Source organism: Homo sapiens, chromosome 16, assembly GCF_000001405.40.
Source record: "Homo sapiens chromosome 16, GRCh38.p14 Primary Assembly".
Classification (NCBI taxonomy): domain Eukaryota; kingdom Metazoa; phylum Chordata; class Mammalia; order Primates; family Hominidae; genus Homo; species Homo sapiens.
The window spans coordinates 1,309,074-1,327,069 of NC_000016.10; the positions used below are offsets into that span (position 1 = coordinate 1,309,074).

Sequence of the window (17,996 nt, forward strand, 5' to 3'; positions counted from 1 at the left end):
CAGCTCATTGGGCGGATGAGAAGGTGTCCCCGCCTACCGCCCCGAACTGGCCAATTGCAAGGGGTTTCACAGGGCGCTGAACTCGCGGGAGCGTCACCGTCCTGCGACGCTTCAGAGGATCCTTAGGCCTCAGTGGTCTTTGACCCCCGGCCCCAGGACCTGACCCCAAGGAAACCTCCGGGACCTGTGGCTGGAGAGGTGACCGCCAGGCATCCGGGGAGCCTTTGGAGATCTCGGCTTCCTTTTTCCCCCGCTGCTTGCCGGCGTGTCCTCGGGTGGACGCGGGCAGCCCGAAGGGGAGTTTACAGACGCTCCCTCACATCGGGGACGCGGCTCCTTTAAGGGCGTAGGTGTCCAGGGCGCCGCCTGACTGGAAAGTCGCCCCCCGGCCGGGCTCCTGGGGCGGACCCGGGGCGCGGGCGCGCGGCGGCGGGGCGCGGGCAACGGGGAGCGCTCGGCGGCGCGGGAGGCGCTCGGGGCCGGGCGGCAGGAGCGGCGCGCGAGGCAGGCGTGCAGAGGGCAGCCCCGCGTTAGGCCCCGCCCCGCGCGCCCCGCCCGCGCCAGGGTCCTCGGAGCTGCTCTGGCTGCGCGCGGAGCGGGCTCCGGAGGGAAGTCCCGAGACAAAGGGAAGCGCCGCCGCCGCCGCCCCGCTCGGTCCTCCACCTGTCCGCTACGCTCGCCGGGGCTGCGGCCGCCCGAGGTGAGCGCGTGCGGGGGCCGGGCCGGGGCCGCGGGGCGGGGGTCGGGCCGAGGCCTCTACTCCTGTTGGGCCCGGGCCCCCGACTGCCCCGCGCCCCGCCCCGCCGAGCCGGGCCCCGCGCCGCGGCCGAGCTTTCCGGGGAGCCCGAGAGGCCCCGCGCTCGGCGCCGGCTCGGTCCGCGCTGCTGGCGCCGCTGGGCTGCGGCCCGAGCGGCCGGGCCGCCGCAGGCCTTCGGGGCCGGGGCTCCCCCACTTCGCCCCCGAGGTGCGCCTGGCGCGGGGCCGGGGCAGCCACCTGCAGCCGGGGCCCCGCGAGGCCGCGCCTTCCTCCTGCGCGGGGAGCGGCTTCCGGGGTCACGGTCGCCCCGCGGACGGATAGGATGGGCCGCGGGGGGAGAGTCTTGGATTGCAACATCGCTGGCTCGCGGGGGTGGGGGCCGGCGAGCGGGCTTGTTTTCGGTGCCTTAAAACCAAAACAAGTGTAAGTTTTCTTGTGCCTCTGAAGATGCTCCGCTGGCGCTTGCTGGGGCCCTGAACGTGAGCGCCTCGCTGGAGGGGGAGTTTTATTCTGTTTTGGACATCTCTTTTTATCGGTTGAATAGTAGTTGGTTCTGGTAGTTAACGTGCGTAGGAGGAATGTAAGGGAATGATTAGTTGGGCTTGTGATCGTGGCCTGTAGTCACGCTTGAATCGCAGAATGAAGTGGTTTTGTTTGTATAATTGGAAGTTACGCTTAGTTTCTCTGTTTGCAAAGTGCCTGTCTTTGGGGAGTTCGGTTTGTTTCCTTTTACAGGACCTACCCCAAGTGTTTCTTGCTCTTCAAGAAACGTTGCCTTTGGGTAGAGAACCTATGCAACGGAAGACGGGACGGATCCTCAGTTTGCCCTGATTGCTCATTCAGAGAGGTCCGTTCCCTAGGCCACTGGGTGATTGCTGGTGTGCGCTTGTATGGTGTCTCAGGGTTTGGGATCTTGCTTCAGAAACATTCTCGGGGCCTGGGGCAGATCAGGTGCGGCCAGGTAAGCGTCTCCCGACTGCAGGTGCTTGGGTCTTGCAGAAGGGAATACCTCCCCAAGCCTGGGAGAGTTTGCATTTGGGTGCAGGAGGGCCTTTAAAGGCTTCTTGTGCCAGCCTGTCGTGGCGACCACCCGTTGTGGAGATCAGTGCGGTGGAGTTGTGGGAGGTGAGTGCTTTGCTCACCCTCAGCCAGGAAGTTGCTCTGAAGTCGGTGCTGTCAACCAGCAGAGCAAGGCGGTGATCCGAGAAGCTAAAGCTCAGCCGGTTGCGGGCGCCCAGCAGGAGGACAGAAGGCAGACTTTCGGGCCGCTCCTGGAGTGCCCGGCCCTGTCCCCGTTTCTGCAGTGTCTGGGCCTTGCCTGGCTCTAATAGATGAGGGTTGTTTTTGTCTTTGCATCATAAAAGTTTCTTGCTCTGAAGCGTTTAGTAACTACTAGCCGTTCACTAAGTGCCTATCTGTGAATTTGGAAGGGCAAATTCGATTTTCAGCGGAATTTTGAACGCTTGATCTGTGTTGTGATTACATTGTAACAGATTGGCCGCTTTCTCCAGAAGGCCAGTAGGAGGGGGTGCAGGGGGAGGGGCCTGGCTTCTGTCTGGGACACGGTGGGTGTGCACCTGTGGCTCCTTGCCCTGGCGGTGCAGTGCCTGTGAGACCACCCCGTGGTGCTGAGTGCTTTGGGGCAGGGGACACAGCAGCAGCAGCCAGGTCTTGGCAGGAGGTCTCGCAGGACCACCCCTCACGACTTCTCACACCTGAGACAGCAATAGCTAGGTGCTGGGACGGGGGCCTCTAGGCGGCTCTGTCCAGTCCTCAGCAGGAGGGCTGCCTGTGGCAGGGTCCCAGGCCCGTCTGGCCTCTCTGTGGCCTGGCCTTGCCTGGCTGTGAGGATAGCCTTGCCCATGGTCCTTCAGTGTCTGGAGCACTGGCCTGAGGCTTCAGAGACTTGCCTGATGCCTGGCCTCGCTCAGACCCCGGGCACCTGGGAGGTCGTGCCTCCTTGAAATGGCCACTCGCCAGGCTGCTTTGCACCGCACCGGGCACAGGCTGCGGCCACTCAGGAAGCCCATCCTGGGGCTGGGGAAGCGAGAGCTGTGAGTCCTCAAGTCGCAGCTGGGCTGCTCCACGTGGGAGTGGAGGGTGGAGGAACGTGTGGAGTTTCGGAGTCCAGCCCAGTGCGGAGACAGCCTTGAAACCGTGGTTGGCGGGCGCTCCACTCCGCTCTGGGCTCGAACCCTGCCTGACCATAGCTGTGCCCCCCACTTTCTCCCTGTCTGGCCCCTGGCTCCCCCCCCCTCACTTAGAGGAGGGCACGGGGAAGGGCAAACGGTCCAGAGGGCGGGCGGCCTGCGGGCTCCTCTGCATCATGTGAGGAGGGCGTGGGGAAGGACATCCCGGTGGGGCCCGGTCTGGGGCTGCCTCCAGCCCGGGCTGCCTGTCTTGGACTTAGTCGTGGACCTGGAGGCCAGTGCCCGGCTGGCCCCTGTCACCCTCTCGCTGTGACGCCAGCGCCTGCTGACTGGAGGACCCAGGTTCCTTCGCCTGCTTTTTCTCAGGCTGCCCTGAGGATCTGTGTTTGGTGAAAAGGAGCCAAATTCACCTGCAGGGCAGGCGGCTCTAGCAGCTTCAGAAGCCTGGTGCCCTGGCGACACTGGACCTGCCTTGGCTTCTTTGATCCCAACCCCACCCCCGATTTCTGCTCTGCTGACTGGGGAAGTCATCGTGCCACCCAGAACCTGAGTGCGGGCCTCTCAGAGCTCCTTCGTCCGTGGGTCTGCCGGGGACTGGGCCTTGTCTCCCTAACGAGTGCCAGGTGAGGCTGCGGCGGCTCCGACGCAGGTGGAGCTGCTGACCTGGCCCCTTTCTGCGGCTGCGAGGTGTGTGAGGTTCGTGGGCCTCCACAGGTGTGGGAGCCATCCAGGTCCCCAGGGCCCTTGTGGCTATTCTAGGACAGCCCAAGCCGTAGTAGGGACGGCCCCCCACAGCTTAGAAGACCTGGCTCAGTCCCCCAGCTTTGTAGAGGTGGCTCTTGTTTGGTGTTGAGATATCAGACTTGGGGGTAGTAGCTTCAGTGTTCCCATGGACTTTGAAAACCAGCACACACTTAGGTTTGAATTCTTGGGCAAGTTTTGTATCTTGAGCGCTGTTTTTCGTGGGTAAAGGTGGCCACCAGTAGGGTGACAGTTGAGGGTGGCATTGAGGCTGCTGGCCCTGTCTGCCTGGTGTCCCCAGTGACAGTGCTGGCCGACAGGCTCCCGCCGAGAACGCAAAGGCGAAGGTGCCAAGCCCCCGAGGTCCCGTGCAGATGTGTGGAGCTGGAATCTGGCGTGTGTGCCGCTGCCTCTGATCAGGGACCTGGTCCCCTACCCCATGCTCCTGCCCTGCCCTGCAGGACCCGTCTGTCCCCTGAAGCCACAGGGACGTGGTAGTGGCTGCACGGTCTGGGAAGGGTGTCCCCGTGGAGGGCTCCTCTCTCAGTGAGGCTGAGCCTCTGCCCTGTGGTACTTGTTCTGCTCTGTCTTCAACATGGTGAAACCCTATCTCTACTAAAAATACAAAAATTAGCTGGGCGTGGTGGCACACGCCTGTAGTCTCAGCTACTCGGGAGGCTGAGGCAGGAGAATTGCTTGAACTCAGGAGGCGGAGGTTGCAGTGAGCCGAGATCGTGCCACTGCATTCCAGCCTGAGCAATAGAATGAGACTCTGTCTCAAAAAAAAAAAAAAAAAAAAAAAAAAAGAATAACAGGTGTCCCCTGGCCCAGCCTGAGTCTCAGTTCTGAGCGCCTGATACTAAGGCAGGGACCCAGCACCCCACATCCATCTGGGGCCCCAGCCCTGCCTAGTCCCCACCTGATGGTATGGTGAGGACCCTGCCATGTCAGCCACCACAGGGTGGCAGCTACCCCCCAGCCGCAGCGGCCCAGCCTCTGAACATCTGTCTCCTCACCTTCGAGCAGAGGCCGCAGCATGTGTCGCAGACCAGGGCTGGGTTGGGGCCATGGGGAGGGGTCCTACCTGCCCCCGCCTCCCGGTGATCTGGGCGCCGCTCACAAGGCCTCCCCTGGTAGACCCCCGGGGTCGGACGACGGCTTGCAAGAAGAGAGTCCCTGCTGGGCCAGGCCACCGTATGTTAGGAGCAAGCCTGCCTGCTGCGGGCCACGTGCGCGTGCTGGGGTGGCAGGAGCCCGCTCGCCTCTCCTGACCCCGTGCTCTGCCTCCTGTGTTCCAGGGACTTTGAACATGTCGGGGATCGCCCTCAGCAGACTCGCCCAGGAGAGGAAAGCATGGAGGAAAGACCACCCATTTGTAAGGAGGGCTTCATTTCTGTGTGCAGTGCCGCGGACAGGCTCCCTCGGCTGAAACCGCGCCCTCCCTACTGGGAGGGAGCTGGTCGCGTGCCTGGGCTGGGCCGGTGGGACTCGCAGGCCGGTTCTTGGTGGTTTTGCTCAAACTAGATGCCGCCACGCTGATATGCTTTTGTGGTTGTTTTCTTTTCTCTCAGGGTTTCGTGGCTGTCCCAACAAAAAATCCCGATGGCACGATGAACCTCATGAACTGGGAGTGCGCCATTCCAGGAAAGAAAGGGGTAAGGGGCGCTGCCGGCCTCCTGCCTGTCGGGGCTCAGCAGATGCGTGCGGCAGTGCCATGGGGATACTCCGCTCAGATCCCTGCCGTCCGTGACGGCCACCCTTGTCACAGGCCGCGGTCAACAGCTCAGATCCCCAGCTGTGGCCTGGCCCCCGCCCCGTGAGGACTTGAGCTCAGAAGGTGGTGCTGGCAAGGTTGGGGTGACAGCTGTGTCCCTACCGAGGGCATTTCTGGTTGAGAAGGAAGCAGGCTGGGCCTGGCCGGGCACAGGGCTGAGCTGTGGCAGAGGGGAAGGGGCTCTGATGTGTGTTGGGAGCAGGCCTGAGGGGCGGGCAGCCTTTGCGTGCTGGAACCCGGGATTCTGCTGTGTCCTTCCAGGTGTGGCTCAGGTCGCGGGAGCTGGGTTTGCAGGAGAGCCACCCCGGCCTAAAACCGTCTACTGGAGAACCTCCTGGGGCACAGGGACTGGCGGCAGCCACCTAGGATGCCTGCTTGGGGCCCCGTGTGTCTGTGGCAAGCAGGGCGGCCCATGTGCCTGTCCTCTTTGCCCGGCTCACATGAAGTGCTTGGCCAGGGACTCCAGGCCGGCTTGCACATAAGGTTCATGCTCGTGGACTCTGAAGGAAGGAGAGATCCCTGAGGTGTTGGTCCTGCCCGAGGCCTTGTTCCCTCCGGCCCATGCCAGCCTCTGGGTTTCGCTCTGAAACTCACAGCAGCTCCGGCCCCCTGAGCTGAGCAGTCCCAGCAGGACTCAGCTTTGCCCGAGACAGGATGTGGCTTGGATTTGTCACTTGTCTGAGGCTCTGCTGAGAACGTCCCTTGCCCTTCACATTACGGCGAGGCAGGTGCGCGCGCGGCCCCAAGGAAGACGGGAGTGGTGTCGGGTTGTGGGGTGGCAAAGGCGCCTCATCCAGGCGGGACCTGGGGCAGGGGCTTGCAGAACACCCTGGGGTGAGGGCACGGGTGTGCTCTTGGCGCTGCCGGCCCCAGTGTGCGGCACTCGTTGCCCCCCAGCCCAGCCCCCGACCCCCGTCTCCTCCTCTCCTTTCCAGGAGGGCCTTTCCGACTCACTCTCTGGGCATGGCAGAGGTCCTGACCGCCCCCTTGGTGGGGCTGGTCCAGGCTTCAGGCTGGTATGGGAGCCGCCTCTGTCGGGCCTCTGGCCCCCGGTGTCCTCGCAGTCCTGGAGGTTGTGTCCTAGAAGCGATCCCCTTCCTCCTGGGCCGGCCTGCGGCAGGCAAGCAGCCCATCTCACCACGGTTTATTTCCCCACAGACTCCGTGGGAAGGAGGCTTGTTTAAACTACGGATGCTTTTCAAAGATGATTATCCATCTTCGCCACCAAAATGTAAGTAGCTCCCTGTTCAGTGTCCTGGAAGTCGGCCTGTTCCTGCGGGGATTGGAGTCCTCTCCAAAGAGGCCCGTGGCTGTGGCCGTGGCGCCCTGGTCCGGGCGATCCATGGAGCTGGGAGGGAGTGAGATCACAGATTTGGAGGTCGGCTTTGATCCCTGATCCCCGCCTCAGGCTGCAGATGCGAGTCTGTTTCCAGCTCCACGGGTGGGCGGTGCACGTAATAGACTTAGTCTCTCATCCCAGCTAATTGGCTGGGAAGCTCCAGAGTCCTTTGCAGGGAGAGGCTGTGAGATCCAGGCTGGAGCTCCTGGGCTAGGAGTGCCTGGACCCTCAGTGATTGTTGGCGATGAAGACAGGATTTGGTGCCCACAAGACCCCAGCCCTGGATGGGATGGACGTGCAGAAGCGCCACCACTCCGAGTCTCACTGGAGGGTTTATCTTGCCCCACCTCACTGCTCTTCCTGTGGGCTCTCGCAGTCTCTCCCACCCGGGGCTGCGTCTGCAGCCGGGCAGGCATAGAGCAGGGGAGCAGCAGAGAAGGCGCGAGAAGAAAGGGCTGAGGCCAGGTTCGACTTTGAGCCTACAGCTAAGTTAGTGATCTCAGTCAGTTCAGCAAAACTCAGGAGAGGGAGGAGAGGGCCGCCACGTCCCTGCCGTCCCATAGCTGGAAATCGGCAGGCCCTTTCTGTGGTGAGTTCCACGCATTAACACGTGCCCAGCACCTAGACAGCGCCTGGCCACGGTGAGGCGAGAGTGCTGTGTAAAAGCTTCCACTGCAATTGTCACTCAAGACACACAAGTGTTTTCCACAGTGGCAGTGACCAGAGGAGCTTGAGGACTGCTGACAGCACCAGCTGGTCGAGACTTGCTTCATTTTTGGATTGTCCTTTGCTGTTTGATTTTTTTTTTAAACCATGAGCAGGTATTACTTAAGATGACTTATTTTAATTAAGAAAAATATAAGAATGAGACACAGTAGCTGCTTTCATTGATTCTGTTCAACCGTTGATTGGAATTCCAAGCAAATGCAGCAAGACAAGAAAAAGAAGTCACAACGGAAGAGGTGGGGAGGAAGGCCAGGACAACAGCTCAGTAAAGCTGAGGTGCAAGGCTGGGCACGGTGGCTCACACCTGGAATCCCAGCACTTTTGGAGGCCGAGGTGGGAGGATCACCTGAGGTGAAGACCAGCCTGGACAACATGGTGAAACCCTGTCTCTACTAAAAAAAACAAACAAACAAACAAAAATTAGCGGGTGTGGTGGTGGGTGCCTTTAATCCCAGCTGCTCGGGAGGCTGAGGCAGGAGAAGTGCTTGAATCCAGGAGGCGGGTCCAGTGAGCCGAGATCGCGCCACTACACTCCAGCCTGGGCAGCAGGGCAAGACCCTGTCTCAAAAAAAAAAAAAGAAAAGAAAAGTAGCACAGGACCTGGTAAAGGAAACAAAGCTAAATAATAAATATAAAAATGAAGTCGAGATTGAGGTACACAAATCTGCTTTTATATCATTTCAGCGAGCAAGGTTTTAAAACTGCCATTTATAGTAGCATGAAATACGTTGGAATAAATGCAATAAAAGATTGGTTCAGGACCTCTGTACCGAAAACTGTAGAATATTGCAAGGGAAACCAAGGCCGGCCTGAGCGGTAGCTGAGCTCTGCCGTGTGTGTGGAGGGGAACACACGACATTGTACAGACAGCCCTTCTCTCCAGGCTCGTCTGCAGATTCCATGTGATCCCAGTTGGAGTCAAGCACATCTTGTTGGAAACTGTCCCATGGACCCAGGAAATGCAGAAACGTGGAGGCCTTGGCTTCTTGGTGGGGTGGCGAGACCCAGGCTGAGGCTCCGTGGGTGCAGAGCACACCCACCCACCCCCCACTAGACCTGCCACGGGACACGGTGATGGAGACTGCAGGCTTGCTGAGAAGACAGGCAGGCAGACCCGCGGACAGAACGAGGAGTCCGGAGGCCACGCATGTGGTGGTTTGGGCTGTGACACCTGAGGGATATTCCAGCAGGAGAGACGAGCTCTGCCTCCCACCATAGAGAAACAGCTTCCAGATGGCTTGTGGTGCCCAAGCAGGACAGCGTGGAGAGGAAGACCCGGGATGGTGTCCGTGAGCCCTGGGCAGGCAGGGATCTCTTCACCAGGGATGCAGTGAAGTGCTGGCCGGAGGGAGATTGACGAGTTGACTAAGTTGAAATTAAGAATCTCTCTTTATCATAAAGACTGCAGTTGGCGCCGGGCAGGAGGGCACACTACAGTGTATGTACGTACCTCAGCCCTCACCCTGAATCTACCAAGAGCTCCTGGGAATCAGTAAGAAGGCTGCCATGACGTCCAGCGTGTCCCTCACAGGAAAGGCCTCCACCCAGCCAGCAAATGCGGCAGGGATGCCTGGCTTTGCCAAAGAGTGAAAGCCTCCCCAGTGGGATCTGCCGTAGCGCACAGGGGAGCAGACGGAGCCGCGGCGCAGGGCAGCGGGAGCCTCAGCCACCGCTGGAGAGAGCGGATGTTCTGAACGTTTCCCCTGGACGCTGCCTGCCACACCAGTGGAAGCTGAGCTCATGCTGTAGGACCTGGCTGTTCACTTGAGTCAGTCGAGATTCACAGAAGCACATACATGTGTCCACCAGAGGCACAGATGGGTGCCGGTGTCACCCCCACTTGCCCCAGCCCAGACGTCCTAGGATGACAGGTAGGGAAGAGTGAAGAGGCCACATGATGCCTGGCGGACAGTCCAGACAGGAGGGCACCCCCTTTGTGTTCCTTCTTTGAAGCGCGGGAGCGGCCAAGCCGGAGGCCATGAGGAAGTAGGAGGCAGCCTCTACCTTGGGAGGGACAGGTGGACCTGGCAGTGCTGGCATCCAGCATCTGTGCCTTTCTGCGGGTAAGTTGTGATCGGCAGAAGAAACGAGATTGAGAATCAGATTAAATTGAAATTAGGCAATTTTTGTTTTTGCCAAAAGATTCCCTTAGAAGAGGAAAAGGTCGGGCCGGGCGCGTTGGCTCACACCTGTGATCCCAGCACTTTGGGAGGCCAAGGCAAGTGAATCACTTAAGGTCAGGAGTTTGAGACCAGCCTGACCAACAGTGGAGGAACCCCGGTTCTAATAAAATAGAAAAATTGGCCAAGCTTGATGGCGGGTGCCTGTAACCTCAGCTACTCTGGAGGCCAAGGTGAGGCGGGAGAATCACTTGAGCCCGGGAGGTGAAGGCTGCAGTGAGCCGAGATCCAGCCTGGGCACCACAGTGAAACTCCATCTCAAAAAATTAAAAAAGCAAAAAGTCAAGCCCCAAGCAGAAGAGCCCTGTAAGACGTATCGCTTGAGGAACTTCTGCGAAGCAGTCGCCAGGAAGCAGCCTGGGCCGAAAGGGGCGCTCAGCGGTCACCAGCAGGCGCAGCGTAGCACCACGGAGTGGCTGCCGTGCACCTCACCCGGTGGCTGGAATCCGCCAGCGACGCAGCCTGCGTGAGCAGCCTGGAAGCAGCACGGCTTGAGGGCCAACACCGTCACCCCACATTCCACAGCAGCGCGCTCACGCGTGTTCGCACTCAGGACAGCCACGCAGCTGCTGGTGTCGCCCGTGTGCTCCTGCGGTGTGGGATGGTCGCGGTGTGGGACGGTCTGCGGTGGTGTCTTCGCGTTCCCCAGGGAGTGTGCCCTGTGCATCTCCATGGTACCTGAAGTCCAGGAAGCTGCCTGCGGATGTTGCAGTTGGGATTACGGGGCAGATGCAGTGGTCGGTAGGAGCGAGTGTTCGGGGAAGCTGTAGGTGTTCGTGGCGCGTTGGCTTTCTGGTAATTCCTCCGGCTGCACTAGACATGCCGCACTGTGTGTCCTTCCGTAGCATTGAGAGAGAAGAGGGAGGATGCCCAGGTAAAAGATGGGAAATAGCCTAGAATATCAACTGTGATGGTCCCTGGTGGGGCTAATGGTGGCAAACTTTTCTGCTTTTTTGTAAAGAAATAACACAGGGTCCTAAAAGCCCGTATATCCTGGAAGCAGAGGGTCTGCGTCGGAACAGCCGACTCTGGAAGGGCGTTGGCTATGTCCCTGGACGTCTCCTGCAGCTCCTCCCATCTCCCCTGAGTCTGGCCCAGCTGGAAAGGATGTGGGGGCCACAGGTTAAGTGGCCACCCTGGGGCCTGTGTTCCCAGACTGCCTGGCTGTGCTGGGAGTTCTGTCCTGGGAGAGACACAGCTTCGTCTCGGCTGCGGCCGTGTCCCCAAGGCTCTGTTCCCTGTGTGCAAAGGTGGATATGTCTTCCTTTAGTCTCCTCATGGCCACAATTTAATTTTTTTGAAAAGTTTTTGGCCAAATAACCTGGCTACCAACCCGGGGCCCCAGTGTTGGGAGGAGGGTGATGTGGGGAAGGACGTGACTCTGGGACAGTGCCTGCCTCCAAAAAGTGCTTCCTTTCTTCCTCTTCCTCCAGGTAAATTCGAACCACCATTATTTCACCCGAATGTGTACCCTTCGGGGACAGTGTGCCTGTCCATCTTAGAGGAGGACAAGGACTGGAGGCCAGCCATCACAATCAAACAGGTACGGGGCCTCCGCCTCTGGCACCGGCAGGGCTGCCTTAGTCTCCCCTCCGGACACGTGGGTCTGTGGTCATTCTCTGTGGCTGAGGCCGAGTCTCACGGTGTCTCCCTTTCAAACTGCTCACACCCGTCTTGTGTTTTTGTCTCTGGCACAGATCCTATTAGGAATACAGGAACTTCTAAATGAACCAAATATCCAAGACCCAGCTCAAGCAGAGGCCTACACGATTTACTGGTTAGTAGCAGCCCTGGCCCCGCTGGTGGCAGCTCCTCCCCGTCCCAGCCAAGGCCGCCTGGCAGGACGGGAGTGGAGGACACAGGCTCACCCTACGGACAGCCAGGGTCCACGCCTCTGTGGGGAAGGTCGGGGGGCATAAACCCTGTGGGCAGCAGGCACCGTTGCACACCGTCTGCGGTGGGCATGGATGGCGCCGGAGCCGTGTCCCGGGGAGGGAGCAGGCCAGGTGACGGGCTGTCTTGGGCCACTGCCCCAGTGAGTTGTGGCCAGCTAGGAGGGGAAGGACCCTGGGCGTGGGTGCCAGAGGAGGCCATGCTGAGAGGCCTCTCCACCGGCTCAGCCTCCCATGGACCCCAGCCTCCCGCGCCGCCCTTGCTGCTTGTCCCCATCCCCTCTACAACTTGGTTCCTTCTGTGGGGGGGCCCAGCCCAGCAGGGCTCAGTGACGTGATGCTGTCACACGGACCCTGGGCTTCCACCCTGTCCCTGTGAGGTGCTGCTGTGGCTAGAAGGGTCCCCGTGGGCCTGGGGTCCTGTCTGCACCGAGGAGGGCCTGGTGTGAGTTAGGATGCAGACGACAGCCAAACAGTGCTGGGGAAAGCAGGGAGGACCCTGCCCTGAGCAGAGGCCATGCGCCCGCCTGTCCTGTTCCCTCTGCAGCTGTTCTGGGCAGGTCCATAAGAAGGTGGGTTGGGGCCTCCGACCCCCCACTGCTCCGCCTGCAGCGTTGAGAAACCCAGCCCCATCTCACCACGGGTCCCCACACCTCTGAGGGGGTCTCAGGGCCCCCAATGGCCAGGGACCCAGAAGGCTCACCTGCAGCCACCCCACACATCCCTGCCACTGTGGGCATCAGAGGCCCTCTCCCTCCAGGGTGCATCTCCTGGTCAGGAGGGGGGAGGCTGAGGGGTCCCGGTTGCCTTAGGCCCGGCCTGCACAGGTCGTGAGGAAAAGCACCTGGTTTCGGCCGGGCGCAGTGGCTCACGCTTGTAATCCCAGCACTTTGGGAGGCCGAGGTGGGTGAATCATGCGGTCAGGAGTTCGAGACCAGCCTGGCCAACATGGCGAAACCCTCGTCCCTACTAAAAATACAAAAAATTAGTTGGGCGTAGTGGTGGGTGCCTCTAATCCCAGCTACCTGGGAGGCTGAGACAGGAGAATCACTTGAACCCGGGAGGCGGAAGTTGCAGTGAGCCGAGATCCTGCCACTGCTCTCCAGCCTGGCGACGGAGGAATGCTGTCTCAAAAAAAAAAAAAGCACGTGGTTTTGGAGAGATGTGTTTCTCCCTGGATGCGGGCCCAGCCCAGGTGTCTGCAAGGTGCCCTCCCTGGTGGCCGAGGGTGGCACAGAGGCCCCAGGCAGGGAGCAAGTATCACAGCAGCCACCCCAGGCTCAGCCTGGCTCCCCTGCATGGTGGTGCACACCTGTAGTCCCAGCTATTTGGGAGGCTGAGGTGGGAGGACTGCTTGAGCCCAGGAGGTTGATGCGCAGTGAGTTGAGATTGCAGCACCGCAATCCAGCCTGCTTGACAAAGCGAGACCCTGTCTCAAAAAAAAAAAAAAACTCATAGCCGCTCAGTCAGCCAAGCCATTGCTGGAAGTGGCTCGTGGGACGTGGCGTGACCTGGGTTTGTGTGCTGGCCTGCTGTGCCCTAGGAGTCCGTGAAATGCATTCCCTTGGACAGGAAGCCACAGTGCTCGTGGGTGTCCACATGGCCCTTGAGGCAGAAAATGTTTTCTTTTTTTTTTTTTTTTTTTTTTTTAAACAGAGTCTCACTCTGTCGCCCAGGCTGGAGTGCAGTGGTGTGATCTCAGCTCACTACAACCTCTGCCTCCTGGGTTCAAGTGATTCTCCTGCCTCAGCCTCCCAAGTAGCTGGGATTACAGGCACCCACCACCACACCTGACTAATTTTTGTATTTTTAGTAAAGACAGTGTTTCACCACGTTGGCCAGGCTGGTCTCGAACTTCTGACCTCAGGTGATCCACCCGCCTCGCCTCCCAAAGTGCCGGGATTATAGGCATGAGCCACCGTGCCTGGAAAATGATTTCTAGGCCAAGTGTGGTGGCCCAACACCTGTAATCTCAACACTTTGGGAGGCCAAGGTGGGCTGATTGCTTGAACTCAGGAGTTCATGACTAGACTGGGCAACATAGCGAGACCCTATCTCTACAAAAAATTAAAAAATTTGCCAGGGGTGGTGGCTCATGCCTGTAATCCCAGCACTTTGCAAGGCCACTGTGGGACGTTACCTGAGCCCAGGAGTTGGAGACCAGCCTGGGCCACATGGCAAGACCTGCTCTCTTTAAAAAAAAAAAAAAAAAAAAAATTAAGCCGGGGATGATGGTGCATGCCTGTAGTCCCAGCTATTTGGGAGGCTGAGGTGGGAGGACTGCTTGAGCCCAGGTGGTTGATGCTGCAGTGAGCCAAGATTGCAGCCTGGGTGACAAAGTGAGACCCTGTCTCAAAAAAAAAAAAAAAAGCATGCCGGGCGCGGTGGCTCACGCCTGTAATCCCAGCACTTTGGGAGGCCAAGGTGGGCAGATCACGAGGTCAGGAGATTGAGACCATCCTGGCTAACACGGTGAAACCCCATCTCTAGTAAAAATAAAAAAAATTAGCCGGGCGTGGTGGCGCACACCTGTAACCCCAGCTACTCGGGAGGCTGAGGCAGGAGAATGGCTTGAACCTGGGAGGCGGAGCTTACAGTGAGCCGAGATCACGCCACTGCACTCCAGCCTGGGCAACAGAGCCAGACTCTGTCTCAAAAAAACAAAACAAAAGGCAAATGTTTTCCTGCCTAGCCCTTAGATGGTCTGCCATCCCCAGCATGGTGTGGGCGTGAGCTCTGTCTGGCCTGCACCCCATTTGCCGACCATCTCCAGAGCTGGGCTGTGGCTCCCATCTGCGGCGTGGGCTGGGCAGGGTTGCAGTCCCCCGCCCCGTGTGACTCTCCCCAGCGTCTCCTGGGCTTGGTGCCTGCTGGGCTGCACTGTACACTTGCGTGCACGTAAACAAACGTTCTTTCTCCTACACACATCCGCTTGAAAAGCACCCTTTGTGAAGCATGTGTGCGGGTTTCAGATCGTTTTTCCTGGGTTTCCTGGAGGCCTTGGACCGTGTTCCTGCCCTGGCAGGTGCCTTTTCTCGGGGCCTCTGCTTGGTCAAGGAAGAGCTGGGACGTGTAGCCACCGCCTCTGGTTCCTTCCACGCCCACCCAGCTGAGCTGCTCTGCCCTGGGGCCGGCTGGTGGCCCAAGGAGGGCGCTGGGGTCTGGGCTGCGGTCCAGGCCCTTGGCGTGGGTGGGGGTGGCACCGGCGCTGCTGCCGTCCTGGGCTGTTCCACCATGCAGAGTGAGGCTCAGTGTCTCAGACCAGGTCCAATCCTGGCGAGACTGGCAGGACTGCGACCCCAGGAGCCACCTCCATAAATGTCATGGTGTTCCCCCATCCTCAGGGTCACACTGCACCCTGTGACCCATCAGCCCCTAGGTGCAGCCTCGGCCGCCCTCCCGCCCACCTGTTTTGCCCGGGCAGTGTGTGCCATGCCACTCTCCTGGGCAGCTGCTTGCAGGCTGAGCCTCACTCTACCCAGCTCCAGACCTGTTCGCTGATGCCCCTGCACTGCCCAGCTCGGGCACAACGCCTTCTCAACCAGGCCTGCCTTCCCACACCTTTGCCCCTGCGGCTGAGAGCCTCATGGAAAAACCCTCCAGAAATTGGTGTCTATTTTTGGGAATTAACAAAAACAGTGGCAAGCAGTCAGTGTTTTCAGTTTATTAGGACTGTCCCCAGACCTACAGAAAAGAGAAGCTGCTGATTACTAGTTAGGACCAGACTTGGCATCGGCAACGATGTTGCAGGCCCTGGCGTGGGCCCTCTGGGCCTGAGCCCTCCTCGCAGCCCTGCGGGACCCCTCTGTCCCCCTTGAACACCACGTTCACCCAGCGTGGGTTCCTCTCCTCCCTGCCCTTCTGCCCCCGTCAGACCACGGGACAGTCTCAGCCACGTCAGAGCCAGCATGGGCTCCCCACCACGCAGGCCTCCCTGCTTCTCCGGGCTTCTGCTTCTGTTACTATGACGAGCTCCACACTGCCCTCCCCCAGGAGGTCCCATCCTGCAGCCTGGTCTGCCCAGCTGGCTCCGGGGCGAGCGTGAGGGCCAGGCAGCTCAGCCCTCTAACACGTCTCTTCTCTTTTGACCTCCTCAGCCAAAACAGAGTGGAGTACGAGAAAAGGGTCCGAGCACAAGCCAAGAAGTTTGCGCCCTCATAAGCAGCGACCTTGTGGCATCGTCAAAAGGAAGGGATTGGTTTGGCAAGAACTTGTTTACAACATTTTTGCAAATCTAAAGTTGCTCCATACAATGACTAGTCACCTGGGGGGGTTGGGCGGGCGCCATCTTCCATTGCCGCCGCGGGTGTGCGGTCTCGATTCGCTGAATTGCCCGTTTCCATACAGGGTCTCTTCCTTCGGTCTTTTGTATTTTTGATTGTTATGTAAAACTCGCTTTTATTTTAATATTGATGTCAGTATTTCAACTGCTGTAAAATTATAAACTTTTATACTTGGGTAAGTCCCCCAGGGGCGAGTTCCTCGCTCTGGGATGCAGGCATGCTTCTCACCGTGCAGAGCTGCACTTGGCCTCAGCTGGCTGTATGGAAATGCACCCTCCCTCCTGCCGCTCCTCTCTAGAACCTTCTAGAACCTGGGCTGTGCTGCTTTTGAGCCTCAGACCCCAGGTCAGCATCTCGGTTCTGCGCCACTTCCTTTGTGTTTATATGGCGTTTTGTCTGTGTTGCTGTTTAGAGTAAATAAACTGTTTATATAAAGGTTTTGGTTGCATTATTATCATTGAAAGTGAGAGGAGGCGGCCTCCCAGTGCCCGGCCCTCCCCACCCACCTGCAGCCCCACCGCGGGCCAGGACCAGGCTCTCCATCTGCTTCGGATGCACGCAGGCTGTGAGGCTCTGTCTTGCCCTGGATCTTTGTAAACAGGGCTGTGTACAAAGTGCTGCTGAGGTTTCTGTGCTCCCCGCATCTGCGGGCTGTAGAGCGCTGGGCAGCTAAGATCTGCATAGGTCGGGATTGGCATCGAGACCCTGGCAACTGCACCGGTGCCAGCTGTCTTGGGGGCCACAAGGCCAGGTCCAGACCAGGGCTGGGGGCTGCCTGAGGACTCCTATCCGGGCAGCCTGCTGGCGGGGGTTCCCCTCTTCAGTGGCCAGGTCACAGGGATGGAGCTGCGCTGTGCATAGGGTGCCACCTCAGGTGTCTGTCCCTTGTGTCCTCAGGAGGCAGCCTTGCTACCACCCGTGGCAAACGCCAGGTGCTTTTTCTGGGAGAGCCCACAGCCGTGGCCCTCCAGGGCTTCCCCGACCCTTAGCGCCAGGTAGAGGGCCCTGGGCAGCCTGTGTCTGGAATTCTTCGTCCTGAGGCCACCTGAGTGTGGTCTGTCCTGGGGAGGCTGTGCGCCTCAGCAGCCGTCCTGACGCTGAGCCCTCTGCAAAGGTTGGGCCGGCCAGGCCTCTTGGGGCTGCCTGAGCCACTGCAGGAAGTGGCCTGGCTGGGAAGTTGGGTGCCGGTCACCTCCCAGCAGGAAGGCACAGTGGACAGAGATGGGAAGCCCTGGGGGACACAGCCCGGTGCTCCCAGCCCTCCAACCTCTGGCTCCCAACCCAGTCTCCCCATCCTAGCGAGCTTGGCCCTCCTCAGTTTCGTTTCAAGCCTTGGGGCTGGAGCTGGCCCTGCTGCCCTGGCACCCCCCGGTGGCTGGAGCTGGGTCCCCGTGGCCCAAGTGCAGGGTCCCAAGAGGGCAGGGCGGGGCTCCCCAAAGGAGCAAAGAATGCAGGGAGGGCGGTCCAGGGCCCTGGGAAGGGGAGCTCGGCACCCTCCAGGTCCGTGTGGGACTCCAGCCGCTGTTGGCTGGGAATCGAAGTTAGAGGTGACTTCCAAAGGCCCCCCGAGCCGGCAGTGCCCCCCACCACCCCTCCAGCGACTCTGCGGTGCCAGTGCCTTGTTGGCTTTTCCGGCTACGCACCCTGCAGTCACTGAGCTCTCGGTCTGACGTCTGATGTTTGTGGTTTGTTTATAACACGGGGCCTTACCTGGGGAATTCAGCTGGTTTGAATATTTGTAGCCCGCTCCCAGAATGTCTTATTTTGTAATGACTGAACTACATTTAGTAATAGTTACACATGTATATGGTTAATACATATGGAAATTCAATATATTTTGTAGTTAACGTATTCTGAAGTAACGGATGTTTCTCGCCAATCGTAGTGACTTCAGCTAACGAAATGTTCTTTTGTAGTACCACGGTCCTCGGCCTAACGAAGGACGTGAACCTTGTAAGAGGAGAGCTCTGAAACGCGGTCACCTTTGTTTAGTGGAAGGGAAAGTGTGTTCCCGGCATGAGGTGCCTCGGAATTAGTAAAGAATTGTGGGCAATGGATTAACCACTGTATCTAAGAATCCACCATTAAAGCATTTGCACAGACTGCGGCCTGCCGGGTGTGTCCTTTCCTGCCCTGTCCCTGGCTCCCCTGGGC

General features: G+C 59.3%; 1 protein-coding gene across 9 annotated transcripts, besides 6 other annotated features; it reads left to right on the plus strand.

Annotated features, from left to right (window-relative positions):
- UBE2I (ubiquitin conjugating enzyme E2 I) lies at positions 79-17,944 on the plus strand. Of its 9 annotated transcripts, NM_194259.3 has the most exons (8): positions 563-700; positions 3,274-3,530; positions 4,947-5,023; positions 5,220-5,303; positions 6,581-6,653; positions 11,101-11,210; positions 11,365-11,444; positions 15,657-17,944. In NM_194259.3, exons 3-8 carry the CDS (start codon positions 4,958-4,960, stop codon positions 15,718-15,720), a joined length of 477 nt encoding a protein of 158 aa, NP_919235.1. In that variant the 5' UTR covers positions 563-700; positions 3,274-3,530; positions 4,947-4,957; the 3' UTR covers positions 15,721-17,944. The 9 variants fall into 9 exon arrangements, with proteins under 9 accessions (NP_919236.1, NP_919237.1, XP_047290541.1 ...); NM_194260.3 differs by lacking the exons at positions 563-700; positions 3,274-3,530 and adding an exon at positions 79-346; NM_194261.3 differs by lacking the exons at positions 563-700; positions 3,274-3,530 and adding an exon at positions 79-198.
- Positions 132-371: an enhancer, noted in NCBI's record as "active region_10218". NCBI's record gives its function as "activates an Ori minimal core promoter by ATAC-STARR-seq in GM12878 lymphoblastoid cells {active_cell/tissue: GM12878}" and the evidence as "EXISTENCE:reporter gene assay evidence [ECO:0000049][PMID:35858748]".
- Positions 412-711: a silencer, noted in NCBI's record as "silent region_6968". NCBI's record gives its function as "represses an Ori minimal core promoter by ATAC-STARR-seq in GM12878 lymphoblastoid cells {active_cell/tissue: GM12878}" and the evidence as "EXISTENCE:reporter gene assay evidence [ECO:0000049][PMID:35858748]".
- Positions 912-1,101: a silencer, noted in NCBI's record as "silent region_6969". NCBI's record gives its function as "represses an Ori minimal core promoter by ATAC-STARR-seq in GM12878 lymphoblastoid cells {active_cell/tissue: GM12878}" and the evidence as "EXISTENCE:reporter gene assay evidence [ECO:0000049][PMID:35858748]".
- Positions 1,073-1,684: an enhancer, noted in NCBI's record as "H3K27ac hESC enhancer chr16:1360147-1360758 (GRCh37/hg19 assembly coordinates)". NCBI's record gives its function as "activates a minimal SCP1, AML or CMV promoter by ChIP-STARR-seq in primed H9 embryonic stem cells {active_cell/tissue: H9 hESC(primed)}" and the evidence as "EXISTENCE:reporter gene assay evidence [ECO:0000049][PMID:30033119]".
- Positions 3,117-3,166: an enhancer, noted in NCBI's record as "active region_10219". NCBI's record gives its function as "activates an Ori minimal core promoter by ATAC-STARR-seq in GM12878 lymphoblastoid cells {active_cell/tissue: GM12878}" and the evidence as "EXISTENCE:reporter gene assay evidence [ECO:0000049][PMID:35858748]".
- Positions 16,569-16,738: an enhancer, noted in NCBI's record as "active region_10220". NCBI's record gives its function as "activates an Ori minimal core promoter by ATAC-STARR-seq in GM12878 lymphoblastoid cells {active_cell/tissue: GM12878}" and the evidence as "EXISTENCE:reporter gene assay evidence [ECO:0000049][PMID:35858748]".
- Positions 17,945-17,996: the final 52 nt, after the last annotated feature.